Source organism: Homo sapiens, chromosome 1 (genome assembly GCF_000001405.40).
Source record: "Homo sapiens chromosome 1, GRCh38.p14 Primary Assembly".
Taxonomy (NCBI): domain Eukaryota; kingdom Metazoa; phylum Chordata; class Mammalia; order Primates; family Hominidae; genus Homo; species Homo sapiens.
The window spans coordinates 20,962,318-20,977,110 of NC_000001.11; the positions used below are offsets into that span (position 1 = coordinate 20,962,318).

The following is a 14,793-nucleotide window of genomic DNA, read 5'->3' on the forward strand; positions in this document are numbered from 1 at the left end:
ATATACTATATTCTTACAATAATGTAAGCTAGAAGAAAATGTGTTTAAGAAAACCATCAGGAAGAGAAAATACATTTCCAATACTATGCTGTATTTATCAGTATCATAAGTTTACATCATCTGTTTATAAAATAAATCATCTGTCTAAAATGGTGGTCAACCACAGCTGCAGATCTCAATCTATGGTAGATATCAAGCATATCTTGATATCAAAAAGTTGATATCAAGCAACTCAACTTTTTCTTGTAATGTTAGCACTTTTCTCTGCCTCTTGGAAGTACTGCCAGCATCACTGGTGGCACTCTGTATGGGTCCCATGGTGTTATTCAAGGTTTATGGCAATGCACTAAGCACAATGAAAAAATATGTAACAACAAAGAGAAATTACTTTTTACTATGAGGCACAATTTACAGGAGAGATGAACTGCTCATCTGGAGATGATTAGTGTCACAGGGTATTTTAAGCGGATACTCTCAACCCTTGAGCTTACTAAAATAGCAACAGGAGGTGGCTATAAAATTACATTAGTACAGTATGTACTACAGTTAATTTTATGAAGTTAGGATGTAATATTGCCTCTTGTAGTTTTGTTTTTTTTTTGTTTTTTTTTTTTTTGAGAGACAAGGTCTTGCTATGCTGCCCAGGCTGGTCTCATACTCCTGGGCTGAAGCAACCCTTCCACCTCAGTTTTCCAAAGTGCTGGGATTACAGGCGTGCACCACCATGTCCAGATTGCATATTTGTGTCTGTTGACACTTCTCTCTGTATGGTCTGTATGGTCTCTCTGTATGGTCTGTATTTGTGTACCTAAGTTTTGATAAATTTTAACTTTTATAATAGATTTGTATATATTTTATGGCACTAAATGAAAACACAGACCAGTATCTACATATATTTTGTGTATTCATGACATACCTAAATTTTTCTTTTTTTGATAATTTTAGGCAATATGTCATCTGGAAGTTTTCAAATTATCACAATGTCCAAAAAATTTCCCAATGTATTTACTGAAAAAAATTATCATATAAACGAACCCATTTTGTTCAAGGGTCAACTGTAATTAATAAATGGTCATGGAATTTAAGGTTTGCAGGTATCAACTTCATAAGCAGCTCAACAAAAGACTGAATAACCTGCTGACTTTAGTAATTTTCCCAAATGGTAGGAGAGATTGTATCTTTCCTAAGATACGCTATCAATCCATAATTTCCTACCCCAAAGCCCCATAGCATAGGACTCTCTCCCATGTCATAACTGTGTTTCATTACAATAATAATTCTAGAAGCAGGGGGGAAAAAGAGTATATCAAGGAAGAAAGGTACATAATTCATTTTTAAAAATTAAGTGATCTTTGGCCGGGCATGGTGGCTCATGCCTGTAATCCTAGAGCTTTGGGAGGCTGAGGCGAGCAGATCACTTGAGGTCAGGTGTTCGAGACCAGCCTGGGTCAACACGATGAAACCCTGTCTCTACTAAAAATACAAAAATTAGCTGGCGTGGTGGCACATGCCTGTAATTCCAGCTACTCAGGAGGCAAAGGCTGCAGTGAGCCGAGATTGTGCCACCGCACTTGCACTCTAGCCTGGGTGACAGAGTGAGTGAGACTCCATCTCAAAAAAAAAAAAAAAAAATTAAGTGATTTTTGATCCACCATTCATCCTATTTGGAAGTAGACAATCTTGACATGGCATCATGTATTTATTTTTACACTACCGGGTTTCAATGAAGACTATTAGGCATAATAGCTAGCATATTTCTAAATACAGGGATATTCCTTATGCCTTACTGTCATCATCAGGAGTTGAGAGATTTGATACTGAGCGAGTAACAAAATTCTTCCTTCTTTCCCACTTTAATAGGTAAGAACTAAAAGGGAACTCTCAGATTATTTCGTACAATTCCTCATTTTACAGATGAAAAAATAGGGGTTTTAAGAACTTAATGTTCTGACCCAAGGTCATAAATCTAAGTAACACAGTGAAAACCAGCAGCAAGTGTTCTCGTGAGCCATGATATCCAGCCATGCACCTCCATCTACGCACTGTGATCCTCTGTGCATATACAGGGATCCAATGTGTATATACAGGGAACATGTATATACACATATGCATATTTCCTAAATATGTGAGATACAAAATCTCTACTAGCTAACCCACAGAAAATTTTAAGACTTTGAAGAACAGTTTCAAATTCTGTCTACTTCTCATTAGGGTAAAAACAGCAGCAGCAAAAATTTGTTTCTCCTCTCCATTCTCCTCACAGAAACCCAATGCAGTTTCCCTCAATTAACTCATAGCTTGTGTCACAAATTTAATATAATTGCTCCCTCGGCATCCACTTTTAGGGCTAGCATATGTTTTTGAAACCCTTTCACATTTGGCCTAGTTCAAATATTTCCTTCCTGTGTAGTTGCTTGTGAAAGAGGCCGTTTGTTCCTCATCTCACTGACCCAAAACACAACATATCCCATAGCTGCTGACCATGATAAAACCTAATGGTTAACACCAGAGTCCTGTAAGTAAGTTCACCCTTTGAAAGTGTTTTCTTCAAACTAGCAAATCCATAACTCCAGTGGGGAAGCCTAAGGGAGGACATGGACCTTAATAAAGGGACAGTCCCACGAGTCGTCTTTCTCTCTCTCTCCACCTGCTGGGTGAGTTCCCTGCTGTCTTCAGAGCTCCCCTATCAGCCTCCCATCAGCACTGCTAACCTCTCTGGGATTAGGAAGTAGTAAATTTTTTTCTGTTTCATGCATTTTGGTTTCACTTCCTCATTATGTCTCACCTGACAAACACACCCAAACATAACTTTTCCCTGGTCAGGGCTCTCTTAGAGAGTGGCTATCCTGGTTTATGGCCACTCTTGACAGAGAAACCTCAAGACCAAATTAGATAAAAATCACAATGGCTTGACCACCTGCCAAAAGCAAACTCATTATATCCCGCTCTTTAAACTTCCCCATGTATACTCAATATTATGTTTCACTACAAAAGACGTATTTTTAAACATGAAGAGGCATCCCTGACTCTCTCTCTCCCTTACATCTGGAGAAAACTTGCATCCCCATTTACATGTGCAGTACTGATTACGCCTGCTGTGCTGGCATTAACAATAGCATTGCCATTCATTTCCACAATCACCCCAATTTAGATGGTAAATTATATGGTCATCCTTTTTAGAGTCCTTATCTAGTTAGTAACTAATTGCTAAACATCTCTCCAACTGGCTTCCTCTCCTTCAATGAATTTCTCACCTGAAATATGATAATAATAGCCTCCCTTCATCTAATTTCCCATTTTTGCACATGCTGTTCCTCTGCCTCAATACCCCTTTCCCTTTCATTTTGTGAATACCCATGAAAATTAGATCAAATGGTGTCTCTGTGGTAAAGCCTTCCCACGTTCTTCCAGTCATTCTCTGTGCCTCCTGAAATAATAATAATTGTAATATTAGTAATAGATATTTGCTGAATATTCATTGCGCACCAGGCACTGAACTTAAACAATTTTTAAGTATTTTGTCTCATTTAATCCTCTCTGTGTGATAGGTTTTACTTTTTAAATGTAGAAAGCAATGCTCTGGGATAAAGTAATTGGGCTAAAGTTACAAAGCTAAGCAGTGGAACCCACACATGAAACCCAGTTATGTCTGATTCCAAGTCAAAGTTTTAAACCTCTTCCCTGTTCTATTTCACATGTACCACCACCATTAATGGGTCTCTGGTATCTGTGCTACAATTCTGCCCCACTTGGTCACCTCTGCACCAGTCAGATCTTAGTAACAGGTCTTCTGTTTCCCTTTACAGAGACTGGGACTTCCCTCGGTGATAGGGAAAGGCTTGGTTATCCACAGCATAAGCAATTATGTCTAACTCAAAGCAGGTACTTTAAGGCCAATACTACAGTATTTACTGTTGAATCCTAAATTCTGATGCAGAGGGCTGTCTCATCTGTAGTCTTCTAACCAGATATGATTCTGTATTTATCTGGATTGATGTCAAAATTGAAAACTAGTAAAACTGAAGTTAAATCTAATGAGTCTTCTTTGGCTGGCAGATTGCTATTTTGTTAAGGAAATTAGTTGCCAATATTTATAACTTGCAGCTTTTTTACACATAACTAAACATTTCTAGCTTCTTCTGAAACAATGGGTCAACATTTTTTTTTTTTTTTTGAGACACAGTCTCTCTCTGTTGCCCAGGCTGGAATGCAGTGGTGCTCTCAGCTCACTGCAACCTCTGCCTCCCGGGTTCAAGCGATTCTCCTGTCTCAGCCTCCCGAGTAGCTGGGATTACAGGTGCCTGCCACCACCCCTGGCTAGTTTTTTTGTACTTTTAGCAGAGACAAGGTTTCACCATGTTGGCTAGGGTGGTTTCGAACTTCTGACCTCAAGTGATCTGCCCGCCTCAGCCTCCCAAAGTGCTAGGATTACAGGTGTGAGCCACTGCATCCTTTCTATGATGCTCCAGAAAATGAGGTCAAATGTCAGTTGTCATCATTATGCTTGTGCTACTGTTTTTCTTAAGAGGAAAATGAAATATCTCTAGTACACGTCTCTGTTAAAAAGCTATTCGTTCATTCCATGAATTTCATGCATTTGGATTTAAAAGCATGAAATTCACCTAATAAACTTATGCTTTATAACTGATGTTACACTTCCCAAAAAGAACTACCAAATTACTACTATTGACTGATGGCCTTCATCTGTTGAAAGTGTAGATTCGATGTGCTTTATGATTATAGAGAAATATACACTCATATTCAGAACCACAGTCTCTGGGGAAAGACACAGAACAAAAAGATGTCTGTAGCTAAACACAGAGGGATACCAGAAGAGGGTGGGAACCAAGCTTGGAAAGTTACAGAAAACCAATCACACCCCACAGGGCATTTAAGTGCAAAAAGACACATACATGTCCAAATTGAGAATTTAAACAGAAATCAACAAAGGATTGTCTATCCTTTATCTGGCTTGACAGTAGTAACATTTTAATATGTTTGAAAATACAGACTAAAATTTGACTGCACTGATCAACTAATTGCAAAGTTTTGCTATAGTGTGCCCCCACCTAACAGAGCACATATATAGATTACTTCAATTTGAAAATTTTGCTTATCCCATGCTCACTTCCAGGGAAGAGACTAAATATAAGACCTGCTTAATCATTCCAAAATTGGAATGTCCCTAGGGGAATAATGAGGAGTGATGAAGAATTATTAACATGACCTTACAACACACATGTCCAGATGGACATATATACTCATCTGGATAATGAAAGACTGAGATAAATGTCAGCCAGATACCATCATTTCCAAGAGAAAACATATCATTACAACAAAGGACCAAAATTAAGTCTTTCTCAAATCCACAGATTTCCAAGGGGCTCTAAACTCAGCCAGCTGTTTGTGATTTTGATATTTAAGAATATTTTTATGAACTTTTTATTTTTGTCTGTACTACTAAAATGAAGTCAATAGTCTATCATTCTGAAATGCTTTCTATGTGATCATCCATATCACTTGTCTGTAAACTGGGCTCCAAGGAACCCCTTTACCATCCAGGCATAAAAGAGCAAAGAGAGCAGCCCCCTACTCCTTAATAGCTTTCTTTTTATCTGTTTCTAGACATTAGGCTTTCACTTTAGACAATTTTTTTTAAGGGACAGGATCTTGCTATGTTGCCCAAGCTGGAATCAAGGGATCCTCCTGTTTAGCCTCCCAAATAGCTGGGACTATCGGCATGTGCCACTGCACCTGCAATTGGCTTCACTTTAGATAATTTTTAAGATCTGAAAACCACGTGTCTCTATATCATTTATCAAAATGCAAAGTGACATAGGAGGAATGAAATACAAATCTTTTTTTTTTTTTTTTAAGACAGAGTCTCTCTCTCTCTATTGCCCAGGCTGGTGAGTACAGCAGCACAATCTCGGCTCACCACAGCCTCCGTCTCCTGGGTTCAAACGATTCTCCTGCCTCAGCTTCCTGAGTACCTGGGATTACAGGCATGTGCGACCACGCCCAGCTAATTTTTGTATTTTTAGTACAGATGGGGTTTCACCATGTTGGCTAGATTGGTCTCGAACTCCAGACCTCGGGTGATTTGGCCCACCTCAGCCTCCCAAAGTGGTGGGATTACAGGCATGAGCCAACGCGCCCGGCCTTGAAATACAAATCTTGTCAGATTTGCGGAATCTAATCTCTATTATAGTTTACTAAACTCCAGTTTCCTCTACAATATCTTGATTTCTAAAAACAAGAAAGTAACATCTTAGGAGATTATGATAACCACATTCTTCACCAGGAAGAAAAAGGTGCCTAACTGACAATTTATTAATAAGTTCCACATTCAGAGATTCAACCAACGGTGGATAAAAAATATTTAGAAAAAAACATTTTTAAATAAAAACACAATAGAAATTTTAAAATACTACAGTATGACAACTACTTACACTGTATTAGATATTATAAGTAATTTAGAGATTATTTAAAGTATATGGGAGGATGTGCACTGTTTATATGCAAATACTACGCCATTTTACATAATGAACTTGAACAACCACGAATTTTGGTACTGTGGAGGGGGCATCTTTGAACAAATCCCCTGTAGATACCAAGGGATGACTGTAATTAAAGAAGACACTCTGCACTCAAGAAGCTCATTTATGTAGTTCTAAAAGGTAAGAAGTATACCTGTTATACATCCTAATATGCTCTCAATAACACAGGAAATCATCTCAAGCAACACTGTTTGGTAAAAATGTTAAATTCTCAACCTTAATGTTTGCGTTAACAAAAGGTGCAGCACTTAAATCCTAAGGTTCCATGTGAAATGTGAAATACTCATTTAATGATGAGGTTTCTACAAGAATGCAGCTCCTTTTGGCATCATGCGATAGTTCATTAAGAAGAGTGGCAGCACCTCACCTGTGCTCTGATTGTGAAAACAATACATAAATATATTACCAATAAAAATTTAAAAATATTATAATTTGCAAAGAGAAAAAACATGTCTGTTTAAATACCATTTAGATATTCGAGGCTGCGAGACAACTGATGGAAATGAAAAGTACAGAAAGTGGCTATAGAAGAAAGAAGAGTTCAGTAGAGGTTAGTGAACAAATAGTGCCATCCATTACAGCTCACTCTGTCTTACCTGAGGAGGAGTAGGTGTGGACGTGGGTCTTCCTATGGGTGGAGTAGGATTTCTGCTGCCACCTCCAGACATAATCTCCTCTGTTATGTCTTTACCTCCCTGGTTTGGATCCCGAATTCTTATCTATAAGGTTAAATAAAATGACATATGTACAGATGAGTGTCTGTGTAGCAAATTTATAGGCATATAAGTGAGTTAAAGGTGCAAACTGGGAAACCTGTCAAATATCAAAGGTGATAATCACCACATTTGACTTTATTTCAATCACAGATCCATCAGATAAATGTAGGCCATTAGCTCTGACATGAACTAATTAGAATAACAAGCTAAAATGAAACCTAGTTGGCTGGATTTCTAGGTCAAAAAGGCAAACTATTAATATTTATACTTGTTTTGTAAGAACCTGTAAGACTGATTTTATTTACCATATTTAACATACAAGTTTCATAAAATACTTTTAATATATGAAAGTTACTGCATAGATAAAAGTTCCTTTTTTTTTCTTTTTTGGAGACAGTCTCGCTCTATCACCCAGGCTGGAGTGCAGTGGCGCAATCTCGGCTCACTGCAATCTCCGCCACCCAGGTTCAAGCGATTCTCGTGCCTCAGCCTCCCGTGCCAGGATTACAGGTGTGAACCACGGTACCTGGCGTAGAATAAAGTTTTAAACGCTGTAAATAATTCTCTGAAGTTCTTTACCAAAATAAAAAATATAAATACCCTACGAGTTAGGAATAATTTATTCTGACAACAACCTTATATACAAATGTAATAATGCTGACTGCAATCATGCCTTTTCCAGCAAAGACTGGAAAAAGGTTGATCGAGAACAGAATAGCTCAAAAATTATCATACGTCGGCCAGGCGCGGTGGCTCACGCCTGTAATCCCAGCACTTTGGGAGGCTGAGGCGGGCGGATCATAAGGTCAGGAGATCAAGACCAGCCTGGCTAACACGATGAAACTCCATCTCTACTAACAATACAAAAAATTAGCTGGGCGTGGTAGCACATGCCTGTAGTCTCAGCTACTCAGGAGGCTGAGGCAGGAGAATCACTTGAACCTGAGAGGCGGAGCTTGCAGTGAGCCAAGATCGCGCCACTGCACTCCAGCCTGGGCGACAGGGCAAGACTCCATTTAAAAAAAAAAATTATCTTACGTCCTTACAATTAAATACTTAACAGCCAGTAAAAAGAGTGAGGCAGATCTGGCCGGGCGCAGTGGCTCATGCCTGTAATCCCACCACTTTGGGAGGCTGAGGTGGGCGGATGACCTGAGGTCAGGAGTTTGAGACCAGCCTGGCCAACATGGTGAAACCCTGTCTCTACTAAAAATACAAAAATTAGCTGGGTGCGGTGGCAGGCGCCTGTAATCCCAGCTACTTGGGAGATTGAGGCAGGAGAATCGCTTGAACCCAGGAGGCGGAGGTTGCAGTGAGCTGAGATCACGCCACTGCACTCCAGCCTGGGGGAAAAGAGCGAGACTTTGTCTCAAAAAAACAGAATGAGGCAGATCTACATGAACTGACACAGAATAATCATTAAGATGTGCTGGTAGGTGAAAAAATGCAATAAGCACAAAGTGTGTATGGTCTTATTTTAATTTTTTTAAAGGCTACCCTATGCTTAAAGATGTCAGTGGAGTTGGTGCTGTAAAGGAGGTAAGTGTCTGCGACTAGGCATTCTATTCTGGGAGAGTGCTAAGATATAAAGGACCCACTGTTGTTTATTACCACCATACCTTAATCAAGGCAGTCCACACTTCTTGAGAATTTCAAGGAATTCACTAATGAAACTACCTGGATCTGGACGCTTTTAGGGGAGTCCTTCAATTAAGACTTCTAATGCCAGCTATTGTTTAGGTATGGAAAATTATTTCTAATAAAGTTTTAAGTATAGCTTTAATTCATTTATTCTACTTTCTTCTTTAGAAACATCTGTAACTACTGTCTTCCGGTTTCATTTCTTCTATTCATTTTTCTGCATTCTGAGAGTGTTCTTCAAGTCCAACTTCTATCATGCTGATTCAACATTACCAAAGCATATAGTTTCTTGACTGTAGTGTCATGATACATTGTCATGTCCTGTTCATTATGATATATGCACAAGTAATTTGTTTCTAATGATAAAAACAAGTTTTAAACCAAAGTCTTGAACCTCACTATTATTTTCTTGTTTGTTTACTTGAGATACAGTTCACACTGTTGCCCAGGCTGGAGTGCAGTGGCACGATCTCACTGCAACCTCCCCCTCCCAGTTTCAAGTGATTCTCGTGCCTCAGCCTCCCGAGTAGCTGGAATTATAGGCACGAGCCTCCACACCCAGCTAATTTTTGTATTTTCAGTAGAGATGGGTTTTCGCCATGTTGGCCAGGTTGGTCTCGAGCTCCTTACCTCAAGTGATCTACCCATCTCGGCCTCCAAAGTGCTGGGGTTACAGGTGTGAGCCACTGTACCCGGCCTGAACCTCATTAATTTTTATTAAGTTAGAGTAATTCAAGAGTATTGCTATAAATCACCCCACCTATCTTACTCGTGTGAATGTGGGAGTCTCTCTTGAATAAAAAGATCACCCATTTTGTCTGTTCTGTTGCGTAAGGAATTGCAAGCCACTCTTCTACAATTTTTCTGCCATTTGACTTTTATATTACTACACTCCAATTCTCTTGGGCCTGCCTCATTAGACAAAGACAAAACCCCTATAAATTATAAAAAACAATTAGAATACATTTTCTAAACTCTGTTTTTTGTTTCTTAAAAGATATCTATTTCACAGGAAGGATTTTTCTTGCTATCCTTAATATCTCAGTTCTTTTTCCTTGTGCTATTTTTTTCTTCTGTCAATTCATACTTGAATGGAGAGCTGATTAAAACTGGTGTTGGCCAGGCACGGTGGCTCACACCTATAATCCCAGCACTTTGGGAGGCCAAGGTAGGCAGATTGCTTGAGCTCAGGAGTTCGAGATCACCCTGGGCAACATGGCGAAATCCCACCTCTACTAAAATACAAAAAATTAGCCGGGCCTGGTGGCTTGTGCCTGTAGTCCCAACTACTTGGGAGGCTGAGGCATGAGAATCGCTTGAGCCCCAGAAGCAGAGGGTGCAGTTCAGCTGAGATCGCGCCACTGCACTCCAGCTTGGGCTACAGAGTGAGACTCCATCTCAAAAAAAAAAAGAAAAAGACTGGTGTTAAAGGAGAGTCTAGATGTGAGAACTGAGCTTAAATTCCTCACACTGAGTAAAACCTTAGCCCACTAAACCCTCCCAGTTCTAAAGGTGGAGTACATGTTGTCATGTAGCAAACCTAGCTCAGTGAATAATTAAAGATGATATTATGCAAATGGTATGAACAACTTCTAATTACATGCCCATACAAATCCTCCAGGTGAAGTGGTGTGACTATAAGGGAAGAATAAAAAAAAAAAAGGCACAGTAATTTGTGAATTGAGATGAATAATGACTACGTAAACTTATCTGATAAGTGAATAGATTTTAGATTTAAAATAAGAAAAAGTAATAAAAATCTCTTACAGTTTTTTTCTCTCTCTTGGCTGGAGGCGGCTGTTGCTGCGTAGGCACTATGATAGGTGCTGACTGATACACCGGCTGACTTGGGTAAAAAGGCGTTCCTAAAAAGTTGGAAAAAATTAAATAGGCATTCAGTTATTTTGTCAAACACTACAGAACTAGCAATGACACTGTGTCTCTGCACAATCCCCTTAAAAGGGTAAAAACAAAAACACTAAGCATTCTTCATCATCTTTTTCCACTAGCTCTCCTCCAGTTACTGAAGTGGTCAAGAAATTATTCCCAAAATATGTAATGTCTTCAAACATTCACAAACATCCAATATGAAAACCACTAAATACTCGGTTCCTACAGATCCACACCACAGTTGTCTTTCTAAAACATGGATCATGCTATAGTGATGCTTTTAAAAAATATTATTCTGAGGCTTACCACATGCAACTGTGACTCTCACACAAGGGTGTATGTGTATGTTTGTTTATGGGTTTTGTCAGGGACAGAAGGGAATATATCTGATCATCTTGGAAAGTAGGGGTGATCTAATTCTTCTCCTTACTCATGGGGAACTACTGCCATAGGGAGGTACATAAAGGATTAGCAAATTTCCGAATACTGGGGTGGAAAAAAGGCTCAGAACATATGGCCTTAAGATAAAGTCCAGATACTTAGAATCCAGGTTCCAAATTACATTTTCTATCATTCTTGAATCCACATCTTTGTTCTAGCTATAACCTACTCCTAACTCCTATCCTTTGAGTACACCAATCTCTTCAACTTTTGACTGTACTGCCCATCTGCCTGAAATTATCTTCTTCCCCCACTCCTTGTACTCCCAATGAGCTGTTTTTAACTTTCAAAACTTAAGACTATTATTATAATTACTATCAAGCCAAATTGTTTGGAGTAGAGGTGTGGAGAAGGGGTCAAATACTGGATGGTTTGAGGGTAGAGCCTATAGATTTGCTGATGAATTGGATACTGGTGTGAGAGAAAGAAGACTCAAGGAAAACTCTTTCAGTTTTATGCCTGAGCAAGTGAAAGAACAGAGGTACTACTTGCTAAGATGAGGAATGCTGAAGGAATAGAGTTTGGGGCAGAAAAATCAAGAGTTCAGTTTTAGACAGGTCAAGTTTCGGGTGCTTACCAGATCTTCAAATACAGATCAAGTAGTTAGAAAGTGACACAAATCTGGAGTCAGAGGATAGGTATGAGTTACAGTTATCCATTCTGGAATTCACAGAATATAAACAACATTTAAACAAGACTAGATAACTCAGGAAATGAATACAGATAGAAAAGAAGCCCAGTGGTTAAATCTTGGGGCATTCCATGTCTATTAGAGGTCACAGAAATTGGGAAAACTCCAGCCAAAGAGATGAAAACCAAGGCAGTGGTTGAAATCAAGAAAATTATTCAAGAATGAGGGCTGTGCTTAACCACATCAAATGGTGCTGAAGAGGTCAAATAAGATTTTTCAAAGTACAAATCACCAGTGACCTTGACAAAAGTTGTTTGGGCAGAGAGGTGAAGAGTGTGAAGCCTGATTTGAGTGGGTTCAATAGTGAAAGAGAAGACGGAAAATGAAAACCATGAGTACAAATATTTTCCTTAAAAATTTTGCCGTAAAAGAAAAGCAGAAAAATTGAGCTATAGCTGGACAAAAATATGGAATCAGAAAAACTTTCCTTAATATGTCAATGAAACAGTGTGCCTATTCCTATATACAGATGACACTAATCCAGCAGAGGAAGGGGGGAAAATTGTCAATGTGGGAAAGAAAGAATTGCTAGAGTAATAGCCTTAAATGGGTACAGGATGGGATCCAGTACACACATAAAAGATTGGCTTTCCATAGAACATGGATAATTGATTCACCGTAACAAGAAGGAAAAAAATATGTACGAGGGTAGTTCACACAGGTAAAATCCTTGGTACTAAGCAAACAGTCAAATAAGGCTGGCCCACTTTCATTATCACCATCAACATCCCCACTACCACCATAACACTTTTCAAGTGTAAAGTTGTTGGAAGCACCATGATTTGCAGTACCAGAATTCTGTAGGTATCAATCAGGTTTGCTGAATCAGATTTGGAAAAGATCTAAGCAGAGGGCATGACTATGATTTCAGTAAGTTCAATGTAAAAAGACCAAAAAAAAAATCTCAGTCATCCTCTAACAATGAGTAAACTATTCTCAAAGCAGAACTCAAATTAGCAATTATGTGCTACTTTATTATGTCACTGGCTCAGAAATTAACTCAGAAAACAAATCCCCAAAATTGGTTTCAAATGCTGCCAGGCAAGCAACACAATCTGCTCACTTCACCATATTTTTTGAGGTAAGTGAAATAAGATCCAAAAGGTGATCTCTTAAAAAAAACAAAAAACAAAAAAAAAAAAAACCTGGATTCTTCTCATGAAACATTTTTGAGCCTACATGATTGGGGAAGAGCCTGGTATATCACATTAATCCAATAAATGTGACAGAACAAGATAATCTCAATATAGTGGGATTAAATGCAATTAGCAAAACATTAAGTCTTCTTAACTGTGAGCTCTAGCAGAGTAGAAAATCTGCCCTACTACTACTAATATACTACTGCCTATACTACTAATATAATAGTATATTATTATAAATATATAATATTTATAATAAGCTAGTCAGAAACATTTAAAAACATTTTTATTCCACTAGAAATGAGTAATTTTTACATACCATTTATTAATTAGTTAAGTTAATTAATGTCTCTGGACCTCAAATTTCTTATGCATGGAATGAAGTACATTTGTATAGATCAAAGATCTGTCAACTACAGTCTAAGAGCCAAATCTAGTCCACCACTATTTATTTTTTTAAATAAAGTTTTATTGGAAGACACCCACGTACAGTAGTTTATCAACTGTCTATGGCTGATTTTACATCACAGTGGCACAGCTGAACAGCTGCAACAGAGACCATACAGCCTGCAAAACCTGAGATATTTACTATCTAGCCCTTTACTGAAAAAAAAAGTTTACTGATCCCAGTTCTAAATCAGTGGTTCCCAAACCTCAGTCTATATAAAAAGTGTCAATGATGTATTGCAAAATGAATACAATAACAATCATGAAATACAAACACACACACAGAGGTTTTTTTTTTTATGTGAACCTTGGTTTGTATTTTTATTTTATTTATTTATTTATTTTTATTATACTTTAAGTTTTAGGGTACATGTGCACAACGTGCAGGTTAGTTACATATGTATACATGTGCCATGTTAGTGTGCTGCACCCATCAACTCGTCATTTAACATTAGGTATATCTCCTAATGCTATCCCTCCCCCTTCCCCCCACCCCACAACAGGCCCCAGTGTCACACAGAGGTTTAACAACTTAAAATTTGTATAAAGGACTGCTCCTATTTGATGATTTTTGTTGTTAAAACATGAAATGATACTGGCAGTAAACGGCAGTTTTCTTTAAAGGTCTTCTTGGCCAAATTATAAATTTAATAGTCATGTATGTTTTCTACTTTATTTTACTCTACTTTTTATTCATTTTACTTGTCTATAATGTGAAACCAATGGTGCAGTCAATATTTAGATTTCTTCTCACTGTTTAAACCTCAGCACAATATCTAACAGACTTACTATAAGAAACTGAATGGCAGGAAGAGTATCTTAACACCTGTATTCCACAAAATAACTAGCACACTGCCTGTCTTCTAAAAAAAATTCAAAACCTTGAATTTTCCATAGAAACAATAATAAACATGGCCAGGCGCAGTGGCTCATGCCTGTAATCCTAGCACTTTGGAAGGCCAAGGCAGGCAGAATGCCTGAGCTCAGGAGTTCAAGACCAGCCTTGGTACACGGTGAAACACCATCTCTACTAAAGTACTAAAAATTAGGTATCATAAATTGTGATTCATTCCAAAAATAGATTATGTATATTTTAAAAGAAATGAGAGAAGTTCTATAGATAATGAAATAGAAAGATGCCCATGAATATAGTATGAAAGGAAAACAATAACCAGGAAGTTTTATTATTTACACTACTATAAATATTCCATGTTAATTTAAGTTAAAAAAACTTGTTAAATATAAATGAAAAAAAAAATACGTATCAA

General features: G+C 38.0%; 1 protein-coding gene across 64 annotated transcripts in view; it reads right to left on the reverse strand.

Annotated features, from left to right (window-relative positions):
- Nucleotides 1-14,793, reverse strand: part of EIF4G3 (eukaryotic translation initiation factor 4 gamma 3) — a 370,606-nt gene that overhangs the window by 156,026 nt on the left and 199,787 nt on the right. For all 64 annotated transcript variants that reach the window (XM_047433321.1, XM_047433366.1, XM_047433324.1 and 61 more), the window contains 2 exons: nucleotides 10,685-10,782; nucleotides 7,157-7,279 (listed from right to left, as the gene is read on the reverse strand). In XM_047433321.1, the coding sequence (XP_047289277.1) occupies nucleotides 7,157-7,279; nucleotides 10,685-10,782 (221 nt within the window). The remainder of the gene's footprint in view (nucleotides 1-7,156; nucleotides 7,280-10,684; nucleotides 10,783-14,793) is intronic.